The sequence below is a fragment of the Homo sapiens genome, chromosome 6, assembly GCF_000001405.40.
Source record: "Homo sapiens chromosome 6, GRCh38.p14 Primary Assembly".
NCBI lineage: Eukaryota > Metazoa > Chordata > Mammalia > Primates > Hominidae > Homo > Homo sapiens.
Window position 1 is genome coordinate 125175344 of NC_000006.12, and position 27209 is coordinate 125202552.

Sequence of the window (27209 nt, forward strand, 5' to 3'; positions counted from 1 at the left end):
AATGAATAGTTTAAAAATTTTATAAATTATTTTAAAAGCTCCTAAAATTAAAGAAATGCTAGGGTGATAGAATTTTCAGTACTCTACCACTGGTATTAAATGTTGTTCCCAACACTGAAATCCTGAAGACAATTTTAAGCTTAAGAGTCCAAGTGTGTCAACATAAAGATAGAATCTAGGGTAGAACTAAGTTACCCTTCTTAAGAAAGAGAGGAAGGGGAAAATATGGGAACTGGGGAGGAAATTATTCACAAAGAGTGAGCTCCAGAAGGAAAAATAAATAGGGAGAGAGGACAATATGCCTGGAGGCTGGAGAGATAAACATAGGACAAGAGATGCTTCTAATGTTTTCCCAGGAAATGCTATAAACCAACTCCTAGCTTCCCCTATGAAATGATTAGTAAATTCTGCATTGCTCATTCAAACTTTTATGGGATTAGAGTTTTGTTATGGGAGAGGTTAAAAGGAAAGAGGTCACTGGACAGCTGATGTATATTTTACAAAGAAATAGGTATTCATTTTCTCCCTGTCTCCACTAAACAAATATTGAGGAAATTCTTACAGACTATCAGCATGAGATATGCAGCTGAGCCATATGTTTTGAGTGTCCCTGTTCTTCTGCTGTCTTGATTTGGAGGTTCCAACATACTAGAAGAGATGAAAGGGGACAATGTAGCCGAATCCCATGGGGATGATCTCTTAGATTGCCATGGACTCTTAAGCTTAAAATTGCCTTCAGGGTGATTTTCAGGGTGATCACAGACCTTGGATTGGCAACACCTGTTCAAATTATTTTAACCTGGCAAATCAAAGCCTCATTTATAGAAATAAAAATGACAATAATTTGGTGGCATTTTCTTTTATAATGCACATGTGGCCTGCTCTACTTAGCTAGTTCATCGAGATTTATGAGAAAACATGTCCGTATTCTTGTTGCTTAAAAACATTATTCTGCATGTTGCAAGTAGTCACTGAACTCAACTTGTAAAAGGCTGATTTCCTTCCCTGAATGTGCCATCTCCCCAAGTCCTCACTTATAGCCTGCTAGGGTTTGAAATATTGATGAGTACAAATCCATTCATCTCCAAATTTCAGTGGCCTTTCAATGGAGAGTATTTTTAGCTTTGTTGAGAATTTGGGGCAGAGGAAATCACTTTCAGAAATAGCAGATTATTCTTTTAGTTTTGTAGAACTCGAGATGGAATCTGTAAAATGAATCTTTGAGTCCTTGCTGGCCTTATACTAATACAGTAGTATAAGATCATTTCTGTGTAAGTAACTGAGAGAGTAATTTAAGAGCGTATCCTTTCTGCAGAATCTAATCTTAATACAAATAGATGTTAAAATTCCGATAATCAACTGTTTAGGTCCTGTGTGAATACTATCATATATTATTAAACTATCTCTGGCAGCCTGATGTGGTGACTCACACCTGTAATCCCAGCAACTATGGGAAGCTGAGGTAGGTGGATCACTTGAGCCCAGAAGTTCGAGACCAGCCTGGGCAATGTGGTGAAACCCCATCTCTACAAAAAAATAAAAAAATTAGCTGGGTGTGATGGTGTGTGCCTGAAGTCCCAGCTGCCTGGGAGGCTGAGGTGGGAGGATCACTTGAGCCTAGGAGAATGAGGCTGCAGTGAGCTGTGATTGTGCTGCTGCACTCCAGCCTGGGAGACAGAGCCAGACCTTGTCTCATAAATAAATAAATAAATGTAAAAATGAAAAAAGAATCTCTGTCATCTTAATGGATACAGTAACGGCTGCTACTTAGCTTTTTGAGTTTTGAGATACATTCACCCGTACATTGGTGAAGTCCACTCTTGATCAGACTTGATGGCTAGCTCATCATTGGCCATTTTCTCAGATTTCTAATCTTCCAAACCCGTTTTCTACGTTCCCTAATTTAGAGCACTTGCTCAGCTGGTTTTGTCCACCTGCACTGCTGTTACCCTCATTTCAGCTTGTCAGATCTCACCCATATTGTTGACAGTGAACTCCTGATTTTTCCCCTGGAAGTCATCCTCCTTTTTTTTCTCAACTCTCACAGCATTTTTAATCTTTTTAATGTCCTTAAAAAGCAGCATCATAATTTAGAGTTGGAGAGGACTTAATGAATGTTCTAATACAATCTCCACATTTTGTAGCTGTAAGCACTTGAGGGATGAGGAGATTGGCCTGAGCTAGTATCTTATACATGGGAAAACCAGAAAAAGAACTGAGGTTTTCTTACTACAGCCCTGTGATCCTTTCTCTGTATTATCAGCCCTTCACCTTCTGCAGCACATTGCAGTTATTCATCCATATGTCTTATTGAAGAGACTGTTTAGAGGCTTATTTTTAATTAAAAAGTTAACATTTTTAAATTAAAGTTTCAGGTTTAGAAAATTTCCACTTTTAAGTGAAGCTTGCAAGTGTTATACTATTTATAAAATTAACAAACCATTACTTTTAAAGCGACTTTGATAAATATGATATTTAAATAGTATGATATTAACTGATATACACATTCAATTAATATACTCAATTTCATATTTAAGCACTTCAATTTTCTATTTGACTAGCCTTCCTAAGTACTTAAATCTTATAAATTTAAAAGCTAAGTATATAAAAAGTGAATCTAAAAATTCTCTTTAGCTGTTTCAATATTACTTACAAATTTAGTAACATTTCCACTTAAAAATCCCAAGTTTAAGCCATTAACCAAATTAAACATTTAAAATTATAATTATAAGCCTGATAGTCTCTCAATAGACCATATTCTTTCGATCATAATATAAAATAACAAATATTCAAGTGCCTTGTCACAAAACGACTAGTTCTATGATTTTGCTTTATTTATTTCTTCATTCAATAATTATCTAAAATATACCTGTGTGCCAGGCAATACTCTAGGCTCTAGATAAACATTAGCAAACAAAATAAAAATTTCTATTCTTGTGAGGCTCAAATTCTAAGGAAGGGGCAAATAGTAAGCAACATAAATTAGTAAAAAACATAGGCCAGGTGTGGTGGCTCATGCCTGTAATCCCACCACTTTGGGAGGCTGAGGTAGGAGGATCACAAGGTCAGGAGTTCAAGACCAACCTGGCCAATATGGTGAAACCTTGTCTCTACTAAAAATACAAAACTTAGCCAGGCGTGGTGGCACATGCCTGTGGTCCCAGCTACTCAGGAGGCTGAGGCAGGAGAATCGCTTCAACCCGGGAAGTGGAGGTTGTGGTGAGCCAAGATCACACCACTGCACTCCCGCCTGGGCGACAGAGTGAGACTCCATCTAAAAACAAAACAAAACAAAACAAAACAAAACAAAACAAAATATATATATATATATATTTGGGTAAATGTTAAAGAAAAAATCAATGAAGGCAGGATGTGAAATGTGAGGGATGGGTGGAATGGTGGTTGCAGATGATGCTACCTTTTTCTAGGATTAATACTCTGCACAAAGACCTTATTAATTAATTTAGGCTACTTCCCAATAGAGAGGTGTTACATTCTGAGTACACTTGAGGTTGTACAAGGACTGGAGATTTGGCTTGTTATGTTGACTGGATTCCCACTGGTGACTCTGGTGAATACTCTGAACTTATTATTGTTTGTCCACAACTCCCTGACTTCCAAAGGGAAACTTGTAGCCCTACATTATTTGATTGGATTTTGTATGTCTTTGGCTCTTAAAATAATGTAAACAGACTTCCCACCCAAGTGGAACTACCTTTGACACAGCCCTGAAGTCCTTCAGATTCTTCAGACCACTCAGTCTTAACAGACATATCTGGCTGAATTCTGGGCATCCCTCTTGGTTTTGTCCTGAAATGTGGACACAATTTTCCCAGTCACTTTCCTGATTAATTTTAGCTCTCCAAGAGGATGGAGAACTTCAAGAGGACAAATACTATTATGTCTTAGCTCTGTTTTGTTTCTCATTTATTACTGTGTCCTGCAGAACACAATGGGTTTACCCAAGTAGTCCCTCAATACATGTTGTTTAAAGCAGAATAGTGCAGCTCAATGACATAGGGTCATGTCCCACTCAGCCTCTTGATTGCAGGCAACTGCTCAAAAACTGGACTTCCTCAAGTGTGAAAAGGAATTATAAGAATCCCTATGTGTCCCAAAGCACTGTCTAAACTAAGAACCACTCTATGAATGCTAGTTTTCCTTACTATTAATGGTTTAATGCTTATTTTAAAAATCCCTCAAAGCATTTCACAAGCAGATAGTCCCTTTCCCTTTGTATTTAGGCTTCAGGATAATATGAGCGGTACCACTGTTTTATTTTTACAATACTGATCATTTTATCATGCCTGTTGTATATTCAGGTGTAAGTTCTTTTTCACAGGATAGCTTCAATATGTCAGGATGAACTTTCATTTATTTATTTTCATTCAATAGAACTAACTAAATTCTTTTTCTGTTCATTCAGTTATCCCACTCTAAATACCAGGGTTCTCTTTATAGATGGAAATGTGAAGAAGGCAGCTCTTACTTAAAGGGAGTTTTTTTCTGCTCTCATGCACTATACCATTATTTGGGCATTCTAAGGAAAATTCAGGAGTGGTTTTTTAAGAGGGCTGTGTTGCTCTGGGGAGCATCATCTTGACAATCTTGTTAAGGGAGGGTGTTTGAAAGCCACTTCAACTAGAAAACTTACTTTCTACCTGGAGTCTGAGTGCACCTGTATCCATCACTGGACGGAACTCTGATGCTGTCCTGACAATGCCCTTTCATGACCTTAACCTGTGGCTCTGGTCATCACTGTTCCTCAGTTCTCACTCTATCACATGGGTAACTGTTGTACTCAGAGGCTTTGGGAGTCCTCAAATGTCTCACTTTCCCTCTGTCATTTTAAAAACTGCTGCACAGCCCTTGTTTATTTCTATGTAATTATTACTTCATCATATATGATGTTATAAGCCAATTTGATTCTTTTTTGGGGAGAAGGTGGAAGCGAAGGAAGATAGGAAAAGAAAGTCAGGCTCGTACTATTACATTTTCACAGATTTATTTGAAATTGAGTCTTTCCCAGAATTATCTACCACCTCTTATGGTCAGTTTGACACAGTTAATGCCAAGCACAGTTTATAACTTTTTAAAATTGATCAAAAATTACCCTAACTTTGAAGGTCCTGAAATTACTGACACATATAAGAATTTGCAAATTAAATGTGGCACACAGTTTTTAAATATACATTTACCATACACACACACACATATATTATATATACACACACACACACACACACACACACTCACACACACACAGAGAGGGAGAGCTATTTAGCCTTTTCTTGATAGAGGACGTAAAGGAGAGTGTTAATTACCCCATTCTGGAGAATTCAACTTACAATGGAAAACATGAAGGAGAGCTGTTTAACATCTGCATAAAACACTTGTTTCCTGGTCCTTCTAATGATGCATTCAGGTATGAAAAATGTTTTCTATTTACTTGTTCAGAATTATTTTAAATAAAGGAAGAAAATCACAGCAGCTTCCTGCTTCGGAGGCCCACAGAGTTGCAGCCAAATGACTTGCTATTATCATAGGTCTTTATGTTTGCTGAATGCTTTTCAGTATATCTGATTGTATTCACAGCCCTTTCTGGTGGCATGAAGGAGGCTGGTGTTGCTCTTGTGCAGATTACAAAGCTAGAACCAGAGGAAGGGGAAGAAATGATGGCTTAAGGCATTCTTAGAAGTTGGGTTCGAGCCTACAGTTTGTTTTTCTCTTTAAGATCTGGAAAGGTGAAGAATCTGATGGCAGTGAACCCAGTAATGAATACGATGTTAATATTATAATGTTATTTATTTTATTTACTTATATACTATAGTAATTAATTTGTAGTAATTAAGTAGTAAACCTGATAATATCTGATCTAAATGATTAGCATAAAGAACTATGTCAAGATCAAAATTCAGGATGACTAAGAGGTCAGAACATAAGATACTCACGCAGAAGGATGTAGGAATAACCAAGAGAACTGAATGACCTCTCTAAGAGCACCAAGAAACATTTACGCCAGGATACACAAAGAACTAAGACATTTGAGGGGTTTGGCGATGGTGTCAAGAGGTGCTCGCTGTTTTACATTATTATGTATATGCTGTCCATTTTCTAGAGAGCATAGAGATAGAGGAAACAAAACTGAGACTTAATCAACATCATGGGATTTAAATATCAAACTATGAACAGATAAAGAATGCATGTGTTTTACACGAGTACTGAGGAAAGACCTAAATTGAAGCATGTGTTATTTTACGATAATATTTATTTACTCACAAACATTTGGTAAACATCTTCCTTGTGCTAGGCCATGCATAGATTCTGGGGATACATAGTGTTTTTCTGATGAACTAGAATGGATGCTAAATTGTATCAGCACAGATAACTCTGAATATCTAGGACTTGCCAGTTTACATTGGCGTGGTGCAAGCCATAGATCTTTGGACATATTGTCTTCTCCCAGATCATCAAAGGCCAAGATTTTCCAGGATAACTGGGAGCAAGTCAGTATTAGATTCTGCACTGACTCCACGAACCAAGGTGTTTCAGGGATATTAGGATAATTTTAGGGCAATGGAGTTTGATTTGGAAAGTTGGCTTTGCACAGCCACTCCCCAGATGGCCCTGGTCTAGATCACCCCTTCATGTCAGTTTTTATGGACAAGGCTTCCCCTCGGATACCTCTGGCATTAGGGAGGCACAGATGTACTTCTCTGCAGCTGTACTTTCTAGAAACCAGGTAAGGATAATGACCAAGAGCCACTTGAAAGGCAGGTAGGTATAGATGATGAGTAACTGCCTGGGGCCTTTTAAAAGCTAATATTTATAAACATATATTACTTGGCTGGGCATCATACAAACCAATTTAAACCAATTCTGTGCTTTCTCTAGGGCAGATGTGCAAACATCAGAAGCATGTAGAGCCCAGGGAAAGCATGCAAACACTGATCAAGTGCACAGCGCTGTGTGACTTTTGTCACTTTTCATGATGTATAAGCACAGCTGCCTTTTTTAGGAATCGTGAGCTGGAGTCGTGAGCAAAGTGTTGCAGGAGTAGCATTTTTCAGGAGAGTGAGGTGCTGATGAGTGTTACCCTCTCTGGTAGTCAGGAGAGGATCATTGAGGGGGTGGTTTTTGAGAGTTGGTTTAAGGTAGAAAGGGAGGGAACCTGCCATCTGGAAGTGTGATGATGTTCCAGGCATTGGGTACAGCTTCTTAAAGTGGCCTTTGCTTCTGGAGTAAATGAAAAAAGGGGACATTTAGTTAACTTGACTGAGAGAAGCTGAGAGAGCCAGGCTGTTGAGAGCACTTGATTAGCTGTCAGATACCATTCTCCCTACAGTTTCTTGGCCTCCCAGCCCTGAAGAACTGTCAGTAAATATTGCCATACAGGATCGATTCCATTTAATCTTTTCCAAACCACAACTGTGCAGTAGGTGATGGCATCATCATTTCACAGACGAGTAAACAGAGGCCCAGGGAACTTAAGCAGCTTGTGTGCCAAGTATTTAAAAATTACTGTGTGTTTACATATCACATATGAATTCACACACACATAGATGGTGGGGATTACGAATGCAAGGAATGTTATTTTTTGAGTCCTTTATTCCAGTCACAGTATTATAAACTGTGAGGACAGCCAAAAGACAAATTCCCCTTTTTTGAGGAATTTCCAATATGACCAGTCTTTATACAATAAGTAGGAATGAAAAGAATAAAAGCAACATTAAAAATGCATGAAGAACACTGAAGCACCCAGAAGATTTCAGTGTGGCCAGCCTGGGACAGGGCTATGCAGGAGAACTTTTGAGCGGTGAGATTGGAGCCAGTTTTTGTAGTTAGAAATGGAGACCAGGTGTGGTGGCTCACACCTATAATCCCAGCATTTTGGGAAGCCGAGGTGGGTGGATCACTTGAGGTCAGGAGTTCAAGACCAGCCTAGCCAACATGGCAAAACCCTGTCTCTATTAAAAATACAAAAGATCAGCTGGACATAGTGGTGTGTGCCTGTAAACCCAGCTACATGGGAGGCTGAGGCAGAAGAATGGCCTGAACCCAGGAGGCGGAGGTTGCAGTGAGCTGAGATTGTGCCACTTCACTCCAGCCTGGGTGACAGAGCGGGACTCCATCTCAAAAAAGAAAAAAGAAAAGAAATGAAATGAAATGATAGGCTATATGTATTCAGAAGAAGCACAGATAGATGAAGAGTGCCCAGTCCGTGAAGGGCCTTGAGTAGAAGCACATGATGTAGTTCATATTCTCTTCATGACTCACCAGGTTCTTAAGGGAAGTATTTTTAATGAAAACGATGAACAAAAAGCATCACGATTACATGAGATTAGAACTGGAAAACATAAAATCTGTGAAGGTGACTAATATAAAACAATAAGAAAGAGATCAACTTTTAGCAACCTTTTTTCCGCAAAGTCCAATTCCTGGCAACATGGTTGACACTGAAATGTTGGATAAACATAAATGGAATAAATGGATTATGATAGTGATTGGGAATGTATACGATATGAGCTAAAATATAGATTCTTGATACAGAAGAGACATATTGAAAGAAAAACTTTGTCTAAAATTAAAAATATTAAATTATTATTGTCTCAGTAAAATCTGGAGATTCTATGGGGAGATAGGGAGAGCATCTATCAATCAGGGTCCAGTTGCAGAGGATGGAATCCACCCGTCTATTTTAAACAAGAAGGAATTTGTTACAGAGCCATGGTAAGTGGGCCTCAGAACCATTGCACAGCTGAAGTAGTAGACTCTAAACTGAGCTTTCATGAACAACTCTCAAACTCAAAGCTGCTCCCAGAACTGGGGCCCCACATTGATGCTACCATAGCAACTTATTAAGAAGCTATTAGGATCAGGAAGGCACTGCCATCAGGACCTGCCTCGGCACCAAGCAGTGGATCCTTTCATCGGCTCCATAACTGCTCCTGTCTGCACTAGCAAAATGGATGGGATTTTTTTGACACCACATAGTTAGGGGCAGAAAACTGGGACCTCAGCCACAGAAAACTGATGCCTCCAAGACTGTGCTTGACTGTAGGAACAGCAGAAGTGGCTGCTCTCTCACAAATCTCTTAGGAAGGCATTTCACTGACCAAGCCAAAGTTACCTTTTGGTCTGTGGCTCCAAAGAGGCCAGCTTCCAGCACTTTGCAGCAAAGGCAGGTATGTCCACACAGAGAGGGAGAAGCAATGTAGCAGCAAGTATCTGGAAGGAAGAAATAGTTGGTATTTTGTTTGCATATGATAACAAACACTGGTTTCATTTGATTCCTAGTATTAGGCATTTTGTTTTCAGAACATTTTAATACAATTATTTGTGAAGGGAAGGTAACAACTTATAGAATTGAAAACAATGATGGAACGTTTACATTAACAAGAGAAAAAAAGGTAATAAGCTGAAACTCTACCTAGCCAGCAAATAGTAGAGGAAAAGAGGAGAAACCAACAAAGTAAACTAAATTGTAAATATAAAATAAGAAAAAAAAATGAAAAAAAATCAAGTGCACCATTGCTACATTAAAATGTAAAAGGACTAAATACCCCATGTAAAGAAAGATTAGGAATGTGTTGGATCAAAATAAAAGCACACATGAGTTGCTTACAAAAACTATAAGCAATATTTCTTAAAGGTTAGGGAAGTGAAAAGATGAACAGAAATATACAAGACAAAGAGCAAACAAAATAAAAACACTAAGAGCAATTTGTATTGGAATGAAAGCATAAAATAGTAGAAAGAGGAGCAATTTGTAAAGTCATAAACTTCCATGTCCAAATAACACAGCAACTATAAATGCATTTTTAAAAACTGTCACAATGCAGGAAGAATTGATTAATAATTTGGTTTTATAGTGGTATATTTTAATGAGTAGATAGTAGATAACAGGTTAGGACAGAGAGGCTTTGATGATCCAATTTAGAAACTGACTTAGTAGGTATATATCACAGAATTTTATATAGAATTTCATGTCCTTTCTCTAGCTTTCTAGTGCCATGAAACATTTAGAAAAATTAGTCAAGTACTTGGCCTGGAGAATAGCTTGAAAAATTCAAAAGAGCGTTTACAGACCACATTCTTTAAGTATTGCCCAATAAAACTAGAAATAAGTATTAAAATATAACCAAAAATTTTAACAACTTGGAAATTAAGAAACACACTTGGGACAAAGATAAAATCAGAATGAAATTCTGAACTATCTAGAAAACAATGAAAAGGAGAACACTTCAAAATCTATGAGACGAAGAGAGACTGCCAATAATAAAAGTTGATACATAAGAAACTAGAAAAAAAATACACCAAAAGAAAAGATAATTTAAAAAGATGGAAGCAGAGATTAATGAAATGGAAAATAGCAACAACTAAAATAGTAGAATGGATAAATAAATTCAAAAGTTAATTTGGGGTAATATACAAACCCCCTCTGAAACCTTTCTCTAGAGAAAAGTTAGAAATGAGAAAACAAACATAACCAAAATATTGAAGAAATTCTAGAAGATAGAGAATACCATGTATAACTTTTTGGAAATTTGATTTTTTTTTTTTTTTTTGAGACAGAGTCTCACTCTGTCGCCCCAGCTAGAGTGCAGTGGCATGATCTCGGCTCACTGCAACCTCTGCCTCCCAGGTTCAAGCAATTCTTCTGCCTCAGCCTCCTGAGTAGCTGAGATTATAGATGCGTGCCACCACGCCCGGCTAATTTTTGTATTTTTAGTAGAGACGGTGTTTCACCATGTCGATCAGGCTGGTCTCGAACTCCTGATCCACCTGCCCCAGCCTCCCAAAGTGCTGGGCTTACAAGCATGAGCCACCGTGGCTGGCCTGGAAACTAGATTTTTAAACCTAGAGCAGGGATCTGCAAACTTTCTCCGTAAAGACCAGAGAGTAAACGATTTAGGCTTTTTGGATCATACCGCCTCTGTCACAACCACTCAACTCTGTCATTGTAGCACAAAAGGAGACTTAGACATTGTAATATCAAATGGGTATGACTGTGATCCAACAAACTTTATTTATGAAAATAGGCCATGGGTGGATTTGGCCTGCAGGTCATAGTTTGTCAAACCCTGGACCAGAGGAACCCAGTATAGCAAAATATAAACTACCAAAATTGAGCTAGGGAAAATTTAAAACTTGAATAGATGAATTAATATTATATTTAGTGTAATTTCAGTTAAAGTCCCAACAAAGATATTTTGAAATTAGATTGTGCTCTTAGAGCATCTATTGAAGAATAAACTGTGACACATGACAAAGTGTTATGATAACTATAAGCGGAAGAAATTGCCTTATGTGCTGTTAATATGTACCATAAAGCCATCTTTATCAAAACGGTGTGACGTTGACACCATAGCTAAGCACTATGTGACACCACATAGTTAGGGGCAGAAAACTGGGACCTCAGCCACAGAAAAGTCAAAATGTGACTTTTATTGTATGCCTTATAAAGTTAATTTTATATAGATTAAAATCTTAACCAAAAACTATAACACAATGTAAATATTCACAGAAAAATGAGATGATCAAGTACAACGTAGTAATTGGGGTGACTGTTTCAGCCAAGGGATTGGAAATGCAAAGGTACAAAAGAAAAAAATAGGCATTTTATCCTTTATGAAAATGTTAAATATTTGCAAGAAAAAATATATCATCAAATTTAATAGACAAACAATAGGTGGGAGAAAGGATTGCATTGCATATACCAGTTAATAGATTAATATCAATACAATATGAAAAAAATCTAATAATTTGATAGAGCAATAGAAAAATAGGCAGATAATTTGAATGAGTAATTTACAGAGAGCAAAAATAACTGGCCAGCCGTGTATGAAAAGTCTTAACTATATAAGGAAATGCAGATTTAAGTAACAATATGGCATTATGCTATATCCCTTGGACAGGCAAAATATTAAAAGTATGATAATTCCAATTGCTGACAAGGATAGAGAAAGAGTAGTTTCATGTCTTGCTGGTAGAAATGTGAATTACTACACTCTTTTTGGAAAATAATCAGGCAACAGCTAATAAAATTTAAATTCTTCTCCTGGAACTAAAATTAGCTTAAGTAATGATACGTGTACAAAAATTATGCATTGCAGCACTGGTTATAGTAGGGTAGGCAGACCCTCTCTTCAGAAAAAAATAAAATAAAATAAATATCCATCAAAAGAGCAATGTTTGAATACATGCGGTATTTGCTTACCATGAAATATTCAGCAGTCTTTTAAAAGAATGAATTTTAACTCCAACATTTGGCACATACATTTAGTATGAATGGTGAAGATTAACAAGATGGAGAGGAGTTTATAGAATATGAAATCATTTTTGTCAAACAGTGGCAAAGACTCTGGTATGTGTATGTATAATTATATATACTGTAGTGTGTATGTATAATTATGTTGTAAATGTGTATGTACACACATACACACACACATTGCCAAAGAATAAATGAAATCTTGTTTTATTTTAAATCCAGAAAGTGTCAGATGCACTTTTATTTGTAATCCCCCCTTAAAGAGAAGATATTAGTTAAACTACCCTCTCAAACACTGGGAAACTAAACTGAGATTTTTTTTTTTTTAATGATGTCGAGGAACACAGCATTAGCTGGGGTATGGTGGAGAGTGGGAGAGCATTTACATTTAAGAATAATTAATAGAGATCTTGTTTTAGACGTTTCTATTGAGAAGAGGTCCTGGTTTTATGGCATCACCTATTGAATGGGAGTATCCCATAGTTAGCCAAGCATATATTAATTAGTACATTCCGCCAAAGCCTTCAGCTTCTTAGGTTTTGGAACCAGTTACCATATTTGGAAAAAACCAGTGACTCAAATGGAAACTTTACAGTGCTTCTCTCCTCTGTTAAGATATCCACGTCATCAGCTTGTTATCCAAGTGGAAAGGCACATTTTTATCCTTCAGTGGATCTGTCTTCTTCACCTAGTAAGAGCTGATTCTTCCTCCCACAGCTGTGTTCTTAGTGTAGCTAAAAGTGGGTGCACCCATCCTGTTTACTCCTACCCTTACCTTCTTGAAAAGAGGGAATAGATTGGTAGTATGTGAACATTTAGATACAATGTGAAACAATAAAATTAAATATCCTTCTTAGAAGTGGTTTTCAGACTTCTCAAAAACTGACACAGGGTAACAAATACATTTTATATCACATTGAGTTGTGTTGGTGTGTGCATGCCTGTGTGTGTGTGCATATAAAATAATGAACAAAATTTTATGAAATGTTACTTGTTCTTATTATATGCATTCCAAACAATTCCTACTCTCTTCTAGTCTACTTTATTTTATCTCATTTAAAAAATACTGATCACAGCACACTGAGTTGGCTTAGTAACCCACTAAATGGGGTAGTGACCTGCAGTTTGAAAACATACTGCATCAAAGGACTCCTATCAAAGTGGCATGCATGGCATTCCATGGTCAGAAGATTTTCACTGGACTGGAGAGACAGTTGCTCAGTGAGGTCAAATACAGACCTAGGCATGTTTTACTTTATTTCACATATGCCAATAAGGTCAGCTTATGTGAAAGACCTTCTGACAGCAGGTTCCTTAAGGTAGTTTTAAGTTTACCTTGGGCCAAAGCCTTGCAATACTTTTAGAGAATTAGCTTAAGCTAGAGGCAAATAAATTTTAACTGCTGTGGTAGATGCCTTAGCTAACGATTTTTCTCCTACAGTTGGGACTGTCATGAGAAGACTGGTCATCTTGGTATAAATAGAAGGCATCTCAGTTGATTTCAACTCTGCCCTAAGCTTTCTTGGATTCCTCTCCCATTTAGGCTTTAAAAGAATAAGCTAAAGTTGGAAAAAGAATTTCCATATGAAACTAAGCAACACTTAAGTATATTCTTTTATAATAATAACCCCAGTTGGGCATATTGACTACTTAATTCTTCATAATCAGTAGAGATCAGTTGTACACTATTCTAAATACAGGATTTGTGTGGGTCATAAGAACAGAGGTGACTTATGTACAGGCATTTAAAGTGGAAGTGTTTGAAAATCTGGCTCATACTTTGACTACAAAGTAAAATGATGTGTGTTATATCTAACTGGATTTGGGAGCAAAGAATTTCAAAAAGCCAGTGGAAACTGGACTCTGCCTGTGGCCTCTTTTACAATATACCTAATTTAAGATGTGTATAAGACACATTTTTAGATATTCACTAGGAAAACAAAGGCTTTTCTATCCTGTCATTTACTTAATTTTTTTAACCTAACTTATTTTTCTGAATGATTAACATTGATGCCTTTGATTGTGTGGGTGTTGTCAAAAGAGAGTTCATCACATGGGGAAAGGTTGGCAACCTCTCTCTGCTTGGTACTTTTCCATGAGCCTCCTTTCACTATTCTCATTGTTATTTCCTTTTCACTCTGAAGTAGTTCCAAATCTGATACTGAAGGAACTCGATTTTATTTTACATGAATATTTGAAGTAAATTGAGCCACTTGTGTTTTAAGGTTTGTTTAGTATGCACTACACAGAGAAGAATATAAAGTAAAAGCAATAGCAATAATAACTTAGGTTTGACAAAACACATAACAAAAAAGGGTACTTTGAGACACAGAAAGTCAAATTATAGGTAACCCTAAAACTCACCTTTCCACTTTCCTTTCTTTACTAGAATTCTCTACCAACATTGGGGTGTCGGTGGTGGTTAGGACAGAAGGAAGTATAGATATAGCTATCTGCTTCTAAGACATTTGCCATGTCTTTCTATGGCTGAAGACAACTTCAAAGTAACTAAAAGTGCCACTGGAAATAGTTTCTGTGAACTATATTGATCATAATTTGAAGAATTTCTACCAGCTGTGACTTTGTGAATGGCAGGAATTCTTAGTTTGTAGGACTGTCAAAATATGACCCCAATTTTGTGACCAGACCCAAATGAAGCCGACCGTTGTCCCTGGTGGTCCATTTTCTGTTAGGTTCTAGGTCATTTTTTTCTGAAAACAGTACTGAAGTTGGTAGCTTGTGGGAGTCACTGCAACAACCAAACTGATAACGGGAACCCATGAGACTCAGAGCCATGAAGACTGTCCCAGCACGCTTTACAGCAGCAGTCCCTAACCTTTTGGGTACCAGGGACTGGTTTCCTGGAAGACAGTTTTTCCACAGACGAAGGTTGGGGGATGGTTTTGGGATGACTCAAAAACATTACATTTACTGAGCACTTTATTTCTATTATTATTATATTGTAATATATAATGAAATAATTATGCCACTTACCCTAATGTAGTCAGTGGGAGTCCTGAGCTTGTTTTTCTGCATCTAGATGGTCTCATCTGAGGGTGATGGAAGACAGTGACACCATCAGGCATTAGATTTTCATAGGGAGTGAACAACCTAGATCCCTCAATGTGCAGTTTACAATAGGGTTCGCACTCCTTTGAGAATCAAATGCTGCCACTGATCCCACAGGTGGCAGAGCTCAGGCTGTAATGCAAGCAATGGGGAGCCACTGTAAATACAGATGAAGCCTTGCTGGCTTGCCTGCCACTCACCTCCTGCTGTGCGGCCTTGTTCCTAACCGCCTGTATGTAGCCCAGGGGTTGGGGACCCCTGCTTTAGAGTATGTTGTACTGAATATATCATTCTCTGTTGCTACATCAAGGTAACAATGGCACCATCTACTCTTGTTGTCTTGACTCTACATATTAACTATAGTGATTTGTATATCGTGTAACATTATGTGGAATCTTAATATGATTTTAAATTCACTTGTCCTCACAACTACAGTTAACATTTCTCTCTTACATGGAATCATTCCTTGCTGATCTTGGGTTTTCTTTTCTTGCTGTGGAGTTGCGTTGTTGTTTATTTTGTTCCAGCCACGCTTTCTTTATTCTCAGTAATACTCTTAGCCCAATTTCCTGCTGAATGATTTTGCAGAAGAACAAATTGTCCTTTGGCATTTGCACCTGTATGTCGCTCATTGTCCACTTGCTTGATGTGTTTCTGTGAAAGGGGGCAGCTTTTCCTTTTCTAAATGAAGAAGGGAGAGTCCAAACGTTTTTTTCCAGCTCCCATCAAAATATGGACTTAATTCCTTTTCTTTGATTTTGAAAGGAAATGGTGAAGGGATAATGATGTGTTTAAAATTGGGTGAATTGTGTTCTTTCTTCTAACTGAAACAGTGCAGAGGAACCTACCCATTGTGAAATGTTACTTGTGCAGCATTGTAGATGTGCAAGAACGGCAGTGTTTTCTACTTGGCTGGCTATCCTGGCATATAGTTCATCAAAATAGAGAAACAGGGTGCAGACATTCTGAGTGTAAGACCAAATGAACTCTAAGCATGTTTACCTCCCTATCATCTGAGGAGAGAGAGAGCTGGGAGTGAAGGAAGAAGTGAACAACTGTGGAATGTCTCCCTATCCTCAGTGGCCTTCAGATACCTCTGTTTTTTCTCCCCCTCCCTTCTGTTCATTGGGCACTGACATACCTTGTCATTACAAGCTATTATTATTTTTTAACAAGGTAAGTTCAAGAAGAAATGAAAAAGAGCCAGTATTCATACTGTGTAATAGCATATGGACTTTGCTATTCTAAAGCAGAATCTAAGTAGAATCAAAAGATTTGAACAAAATTATGAATGAAGGACCCTGACATATCTACTAAATAGTCACCAGCTTTCACGATAGCTTCTGTAGCATGCCAGGGGGGAAGAAAGCCACGTTCTTTCCTCACTGTTCCCTTAGGGCCTTTGTTGTAGGAGAATAGTGGGAGGGGCTGAGGTTGGCTTTGACTACAAGTGGAAATTTTTGTTTTCCTGATGAGCCTGGCACTCAGGACACTAGACATTTAACTGTAGGTTTATGATTGTCACCCACTCTGCTTTTAATGCCAAGAGTTTCAGAACCCGGCTGACCTGAGCAGAATAAAGTTCTTTGGGTTCAATCTGCAGCAATCAGAATTTTGAGAACAACAACAAAAAAAATCTTTTTTTTTTTTTTATCTGGTGTTGCCTCAGCAGGATCCCCGAATGTACTTGCTGGTAGCTTAGAGCATAGTCTATGCAGGGGAGGAGAAACAGAGTTGCAGCTGTGATGTGACTCATTCATACTATGTTCTTTTAATGGAGAAAAACCTGCAGTGACATCATCTGGCCACCAGGGGTTGTGCTGTTGCCAGAGAGCCCTTGATTTTATCTGCCCGCAAGTCCTGAGGCAGGAAGTAGCACCTTAACAGAGAGCCCCATCTTCATTCCTAAGAAAACCAGCATCAGTTTTTTGTTCCCTTTGTTGACTTTCCAACTAGGGCTGAGCCCGCTTTTCTGAATTAATAAGAACCAAGAAAGAAAAGGGAACATTAGTCGTGGTTCCAAATACCAACCAAGCACTTTGCTGCATACGGTCGGCTTTGGTGGCGGGCCTGAGTCTGCACCCAGATGGACCCATATGGACTCACCTGTCTCACATCTGCACCTGACTTGCACATATACCTTGTTGATAAAGCCCAGTGACAGCTGGATCTATCACAAATGTCCCACCTGATTTCTTGGAAGCTTTGATTAGCATCCATGTCCTCCATGGCAAACATTTAATTATAAGGGCTGGTTGTTGATAATAATCATTGCTAACATCTATTTATTATCCTTATGTGTTAAGCATTGTGCCCAACAGCTTATACAATTTAGTCTCATTTAATCCTCCAAGTAGCTATTTGAGATAGTTACTATTATCTTTCTTTTGCAGATGAGGAAAGTGAAGCATAGAGAAGCTAACTGTGATGACTGGGATCACTCTGCTGATAATTGTGTTGCTAGGACTAGATTCAGGCCCCTCTAACTCTGAAAGCCAACCACTTAAATGATACTTGATTTTCAAGTTGGGGGGATGGAGGCTGTGGCTAAGACCTGTCCCTGGTGGGGTATAGCAGAAGGACTTCGGGGCTTTTTTGTTCAAACTGCTTATGTTTATGTTCTCCTTTCCTTTCCCTCATCCTTTCCTTCTCCCTCTTCTGATATGCTTTCTGGGTAGGGTGGGGTGAGGTGTGTCCGTTGCTGTCACACTGAGTCACTGTTCCTCATGGGTGTGCCATAGCCTTCAGGAGTATTGGGATGGGAAAATAGCTGAGAACCAGTAGACTCAAGAATGGTTGCAAAAGTCCCAAGCAGCTTTTCTGTGAATTATTGCCTTTGGTGCTCTCTCTGTGATGGCAGAACTTCACAGGCCACCACACTGCTGTGGGTGCTGAGGAAGGGCAGAAAATAGCCATATATATGGAAAACATATGCCTGTTACAAATATGAAAATATATACATGAAAAGATACCTATGCAACACACATACAGATGAAAAATATATGCATATATTTTAAAAATATATGAAAAACAAATATATTAATTCATGTGTGTATATATGTCCTCCTCTCCCAATTCCAGCATCAGTGTTGGTAAGAGTGCAAGCTGTTATACATTCATTATGCAACTGGTTTTCACTGAGCAACTGCTAGGAGCCTTGCAGAGTGAGCTGGGGCTTTGGTGGTCATGAAGCCCTGGCCCGGGGCTTCAAGGAGCTCACAACCCAGTGGGTTTTTGCTTTTCTTGAGGCTAACACTGATGGTTCAATTTATAGATCAAGTCTCTTCAATCATAATGATTCAGATAAATAGAGAATTTTGTGGAAAAGTCTTCTGAATAGTTTTTTTTTTTTTTTTTTTTCTAAAAAAACAAAAGGCTGATAAAAGGACAAGGCCCCATGCTTTTTAGTTTCTAATAGTAGTGGACTGGAACTACTTGTGGATTTTGAGTTTTTGTTTTTGTTTTACTTAATTATAGGATTAGTTTTAGGTGTGACTTTTTCCATTTCCTTTGGAAGCGTCTAGTTTGCAATAAATTAGAAATGCCAGCTGACAGCAGGCTAAGATCCAGAAGAACCATTAACTCACCATTAACTCTACAGTCTCAGCATTACTGAGCTTTCTGTTTAAAGGTTAAGGCCGTTTATAACTCAACAACCCCTCAGGTCATTCATGAAATACATCGCAGCACCAAGAAAGTAGTGTTTTCTTCCTTAAACACATCTCTTATCCCATCATTCTTCTGCTCAAAAATCTGTGCTTCTCTACTGCTTCCAGACTCCTTACCATGGAATTCAACGTCCTCTATGATCTGGACCAAATGTCCTTTTTGGCGTATTTCATACTATCCTTAGGTTCCCCTGGAACCCTGACCCCAGGCAATCAAGCAGCTCTTGGTTCTTTCAATGTACCTGATACTTTGCCAATGATCTTCCATATAAGATGCCCTCTCTACCTCTGTCTAAATCTTATTTTAATATATGTGCTGCCGAAACGAGAATGAAATCTTCCTACTTTGTAAGACCAAACTCAGACAATATTACCTCTATGAAGATCTTTGGTGTCAGCTATTGGAATTAAATATTCCTTATTTGTGTTAATAGCACGTAGTTTAAACCTTGGTTAAAGCATTTAATGTTTTCTTTTCTTATTTATAGTTAGTTGGTGTCAACCTAAAATAATCAAAAGGGTCAGAATCTGACTTAGAGAGAGTTTATTCAAGGGCAAAGTTTGAGGATAGCCCACCTATAAACACCAGCTCCAAAGGAATGGAGTCAGTGTTCTGAAGTAGGGAAGTTAAAGTTTCATTTATATATAGTCAGAGACCAGGGAGTTTTTAGCAGGATTACAACATTTTTCTGACAAAGTTGGCACACAATTGCAGCAATTTGATTGGTTGTATAGGCTGTGTTTCTTTTTGGGAAGGATACATATAACATTTGTTACAGAGGGTATAGTGGTTATGGGTTTTCTGTCAACTGGCCTAAGCAAAGCAGGACAAGAAAGGGGAAGTTAATCTGTAACAAGGGTCATTAAGATGGCAGCAGGTTTTTGTCCCTGTTGTTGTTTGAGTCTCTCTAGTCACTGTACAGAACAAGAACAATAAGAAACAAGTTGTTCTATAATCTGAGAAACAGAAGTCACAACCCTGTGTGGCTCAGATCACAATCACATCTCTCTCAAGGCTTAAAGTGTCTTCAGGGTTCCAACAGGTTTTAAATCATATTTATTTTCACACTGGGTACATTGTGGACCGCTAAGTCCTTTGAGAGTAAGAAGCATGTCTTCTGCATTTTGTGTCACCCATCCATGAGAGAAAGGTTTTATATAAAATGAGTAAATTTTTGAGTGGTATAAGATTAAGTAAATTTTAGATCTATGGAAAAGGCACTTACGTGAAATTCTCTGATGATACTGAACAAATTGCATTGTTGTCTTGGTCCAGTCAACAGGCATCTTTTTGATCCTTTGAGGTACCAAGCAGGTTTTACCCTTAGGGCATCTGACCTAGCTGTTACCTCTCCCTGGAAATCTCTTTTATTCTGGAATGTCACATAGCAACTCCTTCTTAAGGCCAAGTGCACTGACCCATCTTAGAGAGGCTTTCTGCAACTTCTCAGACCATTGTTGGTTTTGCATGGTGACAAAGCCTGTCTCCAGTCACTCCATCACAGTGCCCTGTTCGCGCTATCACAGCCAGGCCAGTTGTTGCCCACTTGCTCATCATATGCATCTCTTAAGCTTCAGGAGAGCAGAGGCCCTGTCTGCTCTGATAATCATTGTATCTCCAGGACCTAGAATAGTGCTGAGCTCACAGTAATGCCCCTTACATCATACTATATTATTTAAAATCAGTGGGTTTTGACATTGGCTGCCCATCAGTGTCACCAGTGGGGATTAACAAAACACAGATGTGCAAGGTTAACCTCAAAGATTCTAATTCAGTAGGACTTGAGTGATGCCCTTAAATTTGGCTCTAAATGTATTAATCATCAAAGACTCAGGAAAACAAGGAAAGATAAGCTTTCTGTAGCTTCCAAAGTTGTAGCTGTTTTTAAAATTGTTTATATTTTCTTTTAAACTCTCATCCCATATCCTTAAGCCTTGTGACTGCCACAGAGAGAAAATAAGATCAAGCATGAGCTTACATTAGCCACAGAAACACCTGGGGCAGTTCCAAAGTTTTAATTACTGCTTCATTAATGTAAAAGCTTAACTATAGTTGTAATGTATAAACAACTTTTGGCATGTGCCCTGCAAATGCAAAAAAGTCTAAATAATTATTGTCGTGGCTCCTGTCTCAACGCAAGACCAATGATCGCCAAATTATTTTTAAGACATGGACTACATTAAAAAGTTATTGAATTATGTTTTCTGTTAGCTTATATAAAGCACATGACATTTAATAACTTGCAAAGAAATGCTTATTTTATCTGTAATATATACTTTGGTGTTTATCAGATTCTGTTCAAACTGTGTAGCAAATTTCCTTGAAAATAGAACTTTCTTTTTTCCTCACATCCCTGTATTTGATATCAGACTATTCTTAGACTCTCCACCTCACTCATCACCATGGTGTCTACGGACTTATAAGTATGACATGCTGTCACCCTTATTTATACATGAGGTATGGAGGTGAGCGTGAATAAGAATCTTGCTCAGAGCCAATTAGTTGCAGATCCAGCATTGGAATTCCTCTCCCATAGTATCAAAAGTGTAGTCATATTCCTAGATCATTAGGCAGGAAGAAAAAGAAAATAAAAGAAAAACTACTCAGAGACATCTGGCCGGATCTGTGCCTTTCATCAGAATAATCATGTCCTGAATCTCCCACTGGGGTTGTCAGAAAAGATTTTTCCCAAGCTTTTCTATACCACGGAGAGCTACATTTAATTTATAACCTGAAAGTATCCCCTAAAACAGACTCATAATCATGCTTGCTGAAATTTTAGCCCAGCCTTCTTGCTTGCTGAGAAAAGAGCTGGCTGTCCTTTCTCTTTGAATAAGCCTCCTTGTATGAACAGTCTCTAGAGATGTCCCTTTTCCAGATGAAAATCTGTTTTATGTGTTATCATGTTGACCTTCCAATCCCTTGAATGATTTTACGTTTTCATCTTGGTAGGTCTGTTCTCTCTATAATCTAATTTAATAGTTCTAATCTGCACATATCCACCACATATCTAGTTCAATATCAAGCAGGTATCCAGTGAGTTCACAAACTCAGAAGGGCAAGAAATATAACTTTTCTTATTTTTCGGCAACTCATTTTCACTTCTATTTTGAGTTCTTTTTCTACCAGGAGAATTTTAGGGAAATGTTTGCCCCCAGATCAAGAGACACTCTCCTCTTTCTGCTTGCTAGGCCCAAAAGAACAGACTCTTTTGAAAAGTGCAGAGTTTAGAACTCTAAGAGGAAGAACAGTCAGAAGGATTTTTTTTTAAGCAAAGTCTATTTTTCACCCAAGGTGGAATATAATATAAAGTACTAATCAGTTATACAAACATGTTATTTATAAAATAACAGCCCACTAAGCGTCAGAGGTGAGGGGTTGCCCCATCCAATTTTCAGAGTCTAAAAGAGGCATCTGGGTGTCCATTACCTGAAACAGCACAGGCGCTAGTGTCTCCAGAGAAAAGGAAATGGAAGAGGGAGGCAGGGGATGTTACAACAGGGTGTGATTAATAGCAGCTCACTGCTGGAGTTCACTCAGGAAAGGCTGGGTAAATGCTGCAGCTCAAGGTCAGTGTGAGGCAGGCCAAGGGATCGGTTAGCCCTGGAACTTCTGAGTGAGTCCTTGGCTCCAGTTAAATAAGAAGCAGCCAAGATCTGGGAAGGTCAACACAGTCAAAGCCCTACCAGGAACTAGGATTATACCCTGGGCTTCAAGCCAAGACCAGGGCACTCTGGCTGATCTGAGTGTGATCTTGAACTCTGCTTTGCCCTCTGAGAGAAGGAGCCGAAGCTCTGTCTACCTTCAGGGACAGAGGTCTGGAGTTAGTTTCCTGATTACAGCAGGAACAACCCAAGAGGCCATCAGATACTGGGAGGTTCTTACAGTGCTCTAAACCCTTTCAGGCAATTTGAGTCTTCTGTGTCTATTGTCTTCACAGGCATCTTGTATAGTGTTGGAAACCTATAGTGATAAGTGATTTTCAGCTACTTACTAGAGATGGGAGAATTTCAAAGTCCTTTCCTTCATTGTCCATCTTTACTCATTTGGGTAGAGTTATACCCAGTTCTATCCCTGCATACATACTTGCATGCATGGGGTAAGAGAGATCTATTTACAAACACGTGACCACAAACACATGACCAGCTTCCAAAGCTGAGAATGCCAAGGACACATGGAAGTTATTGGTCACCTGAGTATAGAAAAAGCAGGGAAACCCAGCTCAACCACTTTCTGTCTATGAACGTCAATTTTCCTCTTTATAAATTAGGGATGTGTATAAAATAATGTGCATAAAATCTTTGGCACAGTGCCTAACACATTGTGAACACAAGTGTCAGCCAAAATTATGAGCATGCAGCTGTCTCTGTGTCTGTTGAGCAGAGCTTCCTCAATGTGTTGTCAATGGCTCAATTTTGGAAACGGGCAATGTCTCGAGACAGTGCTGATTGCCACAACTTACGGGATGAGTACTACTCGTATCTAGTTGGCAGAGGCCAGATATACTGCTGAGCATCCTGCAGTGAACACACAGTTCCCTACAATCACAACAATGAGTTCCCCTACCTGAAATTCCATAGTGCTGAGGCTGAGAAATCCGGCGAAATGGTCATAGCAAGATGAGATGAGTTTAGCTGATTTCCTTCATCCTTAGGAATAAGAACATGTTAACATATTAACATTATTGACCTCTACCAGCACTTAAAGGACAAAAAGCCTATCAAATCTAAACCTTGCTATGAAACAAAATCTGATTCTTGTGAGAGAAAAGTCTTCCTTGATTCTCAAGAGAAAGTAAAAGGTTTTTGTGGTTTTGACTTAAATAATTCTAATGACTCGATTTGTTTATTGGACAATAGATTGAAGGAGCTAAGCTGGATTTTGTTGATTTTAATTTTTACCAGTAATGTAGTATAAAAAATGTTTTGCTAGACTTGTATGATTTACTAAATAATTATTGATATTTGCATATCATGTAGGATCAAGAAAAAGTCACATGTTAAATTCTGTGTACAGAGATAATTATTTTCAGTCAAATGAAAGTAAAAGAGGCCAGGCGCAGTGGCTCACGCCTGTAATCCCAACACTTTGGGAGGCTGCGGCGGGCAGAATCACCTGAGGTCAGGAGTTCAAGACCAGCCTGACCAACATGGTAAAACCTCATCTCTACTAAAAATACAAAATTAGCCAGGCGTGGTGCTACATGCCTGTAATCCCAGCTACTTGGGAGGCTGAGGCTGGAGAATCACTTGAACCTGGGAGGCGGAGGTTGCAGTGAGCCAAGATTGCACCATTGCACTCCAGCCTGGGCAACAAAAGCAAAACCCCATCTCAAAAAAAATCAAAATAAAAGTAAAGGAGATATTAAGTTTAGCTTGCCTGCAATATACAAATTAAATGTGCTAGAATTGAGCACTTATAGCACAAATTATAGGAAATAAGATAGTGAAAAATTAAAAATTACTTAGGTCATAAAAATGCAGAAAATACATAAAGATGCTTTGGAGCCATAGAGCACCTGTTAAAGCTTGACTTTCATTGTATTTCCATGTTGTTCCATTACATTAGGGGAAGCCTCCTTAGTGGCTCATCACCTCATTGCCTAGACTGGGTAAGCAGGGACACAGGGTCATTGCTACCTTTCACAGGTGCTTTACTGTGCTAAACTTCTGAAAAGCCACCTTTTAAAAAGGGAACATGCATTTTCAAAGCCACTGATTATTAAACCCCTCTTTCAGTCATCTTATTTGCAGACTTTCATTTTTGAGCTTTGTTTGCCATCTGGGAAGGATTTTGAAAGAGAACATAGGCCTCTTCCTGCTTTTATGTTCAGCATGCCATGAATTGCATTAATGAATTCTTAAGATCGTTTGATCTATTTAAAAAAATAGCTCTAGATTCAGTCAGTTGTTAAAAAAATGTGTTCAAGATTGTCTATAATTGCACTAGCCACAAACAGATTTTCGTAGGTATTTTCTTTGTAAAGAATCTATTTGAAATATTGGAAATGTTTTCAGGAACTAGAGACAAAAGATATACATGGTTTTTTGAATAATTTAGCATGTCCTAATTTTTAAATGTCCCTCAGTAGTCATTTATCTGCAGAGCAAGTAAATACAAATTTTAAAAAAATTAACAGTTATATACGTGCTTATTGTAAACAGTCAAGTAATACAGAGGAATATAAAACAGAGTGAATCATCTTCTCCCTGTCCAACCTCACCCTTTTGCAGCAGCCAACATTAACAATTTGGTACATATCCTTTCTCAACTTTCTCAATGCTCATACAAATGCATGGATGTTCATGTTCACATAAAAATGGTGTTTTATTCCTCCCCCAAATGGTGCAGATGCAAATATGATGCAGTAACTTGATTTTTGCATTCAACAATATACAATGAAAATTCCTCCTAGTCAATACATGTCAATCCAATTCATTATTTTGTCAACCTAAGGTAGTCATAAGGGTCAGAATCCAATTTAAGGAGAGGTTATTTAAGTGCATATTGTGAGGGTGGCCAACTCAAACATGCCAACTCCAAAGGAATGGAGTCAGCGTTCTAAAGTAGGGAAATTAAGGTTTCATTTATGTAGTCAGGGACAGGGAAGTTTTTAGCATATTTCATTTTTCAGACAGGGTTGGCACATTGTTACAGCAATTTGATTGGTTTATAGGCAGCGTTTCTTTTTGGAAAAGTTACATTTAACATTCATTACAGAGGGCATAGTAGTCATGGGTTTTCTGTCATGTGGTCTTAGCAAAGCAAGGTACCAAAGAGGAAGTCAATCTATAGCAAGGGTCATTAAGAAGGCAGGAGATTTTTGTCCTGGACATTTAATTATCTCTAGCCATTGTAGAGAACGAGAAAAATAAGAAAGTGAGTTAATGTATAATCTGAGAAACAGAAATTATAACCATATGTGACTCAGATCACAGTCACATCTTTCTCAAGACTTAAAGTGCTTTGGGGGTCGCAACAACTTTTGCATTATATTTATTTTCACAAATTTTAATAACTGAAAAATAGTATACAGTGTGGGTATATTATACTTGAATACTGGTGCCCTACTGATGGACGTTTAGGTTTTTGTAGTTTTCTACCACTACCAACAATGATTTATACTCTCTCCTTAGGTTTGCACCTTTTTTTCTGTAAGATTGATTCTCAAAAGTGGGATGGCAGTGTCAAAGGCTCTCCCAATCAGGTGTCACAGTGCAAAAGCCAACAATGTGTGGTTAAAGGATCCATTTTTTCACAATCTTGCCAACACAGGCTCTTATCCCATTTTGGCTTCTTTGCAAATATCTTAGATGAAAAACAGTATCTCTGTGATTCTAATTTGTGCTTTCCCTATTGCTAGTGAGGATAAGTGTCTTTTCATATTTCATCTCACCATTGCATTTTCTTGTCTGTGACTTGAGTGAAACTTTTCTAATTCTTGCATATTTTATTCTTGCTCAACATGTCACGACTCAGAAACACATATTTCCATCTCCTTTAGCATTTATTTTGCTACTCAGATTTCAGAAGGAAAAAGGATTTTTTTCCTGGGCATTGTCAGTAGTAGCTATTTGGAATGCTAAAGATTTGATAAGAGACATTGAAGAAATGTGAATGTTACTGAACCGATTTGCTTAAAGTAAAGGGAAGACTGTCTATACGTCTGACCAATGCTTTTTGAATGTTCAGGCCCCTGAATCTGGCTGCAGTCCCAGTAGGCATGGGTCCAGGCGTGATGTGTTTGTGGTTGCATCATGGCATCGCTGTCTAACCCTCGCCTTTGCATTGAAGTTGTGCAAAGATTAGAGAACTGTAAAAATCTCAGGCCTGTCTGAGGAAGTCTTTCTTACTATCTATCCCTTTCTTTAAACATGCCTTGAAAAAAAAAGCTACATTTTGTCCTGCTTTGTGTTCATAGTGAATATCTTTCATTGTCAAGAAAATTTTTTCCTGAACTAGCTCTGAAAGATGACTCAGCACTTTATAAGATCAGTGAGCCTTTAAGGAATGACCTAAGATGGAATGTATCCTGTCCAGTGAAGCTCAAGGCATGCACAGGTCGTGTTCACCTCACTCCCTCAGGAGTTGAAGGAGATAAGAAACTGGTCCCACAGCCCTCAACTCTAGCTTGGGTGCCTCGCAGCTACTCAGCTAACCAAAGAAATGAGTGGAAAATCAGTTCTCTGGTCTATTTTTG

At 38.2% G+C, this 27209-nt stretch overlaps 1 protein-coding gene and 1 long non-coding RNA gene across 11 annotated transcripts in view; one reads left to right on the forward strand and one right to left on the reverse strand.

Annotated features, from left to right (window-relative positions):
• TPD52L1 (TPD52 like 1) overlaps positions 1 to 27209 on the forward strand; it is a 110635-nt gene that overhangs the window by 21571 nt on the left and 61855 nt on the right. The window lies entirely within an intron of this gene.
• LOC100126584 (uncharacterized) lies at positions 7600 to 22474 on the reverse strand. Its single transcript, NR_149043.1, has 4 exons — positions 22439 to 22474; positions 15266 to 15321; positions 9131 to 9228; positions 7600 to 8132 (listed from the first exon to the last, which is right to left on the reverse strand). It is a non-coding gene; the product is annotated as an uncharacterized LOC100126584 (long non-coding RNA).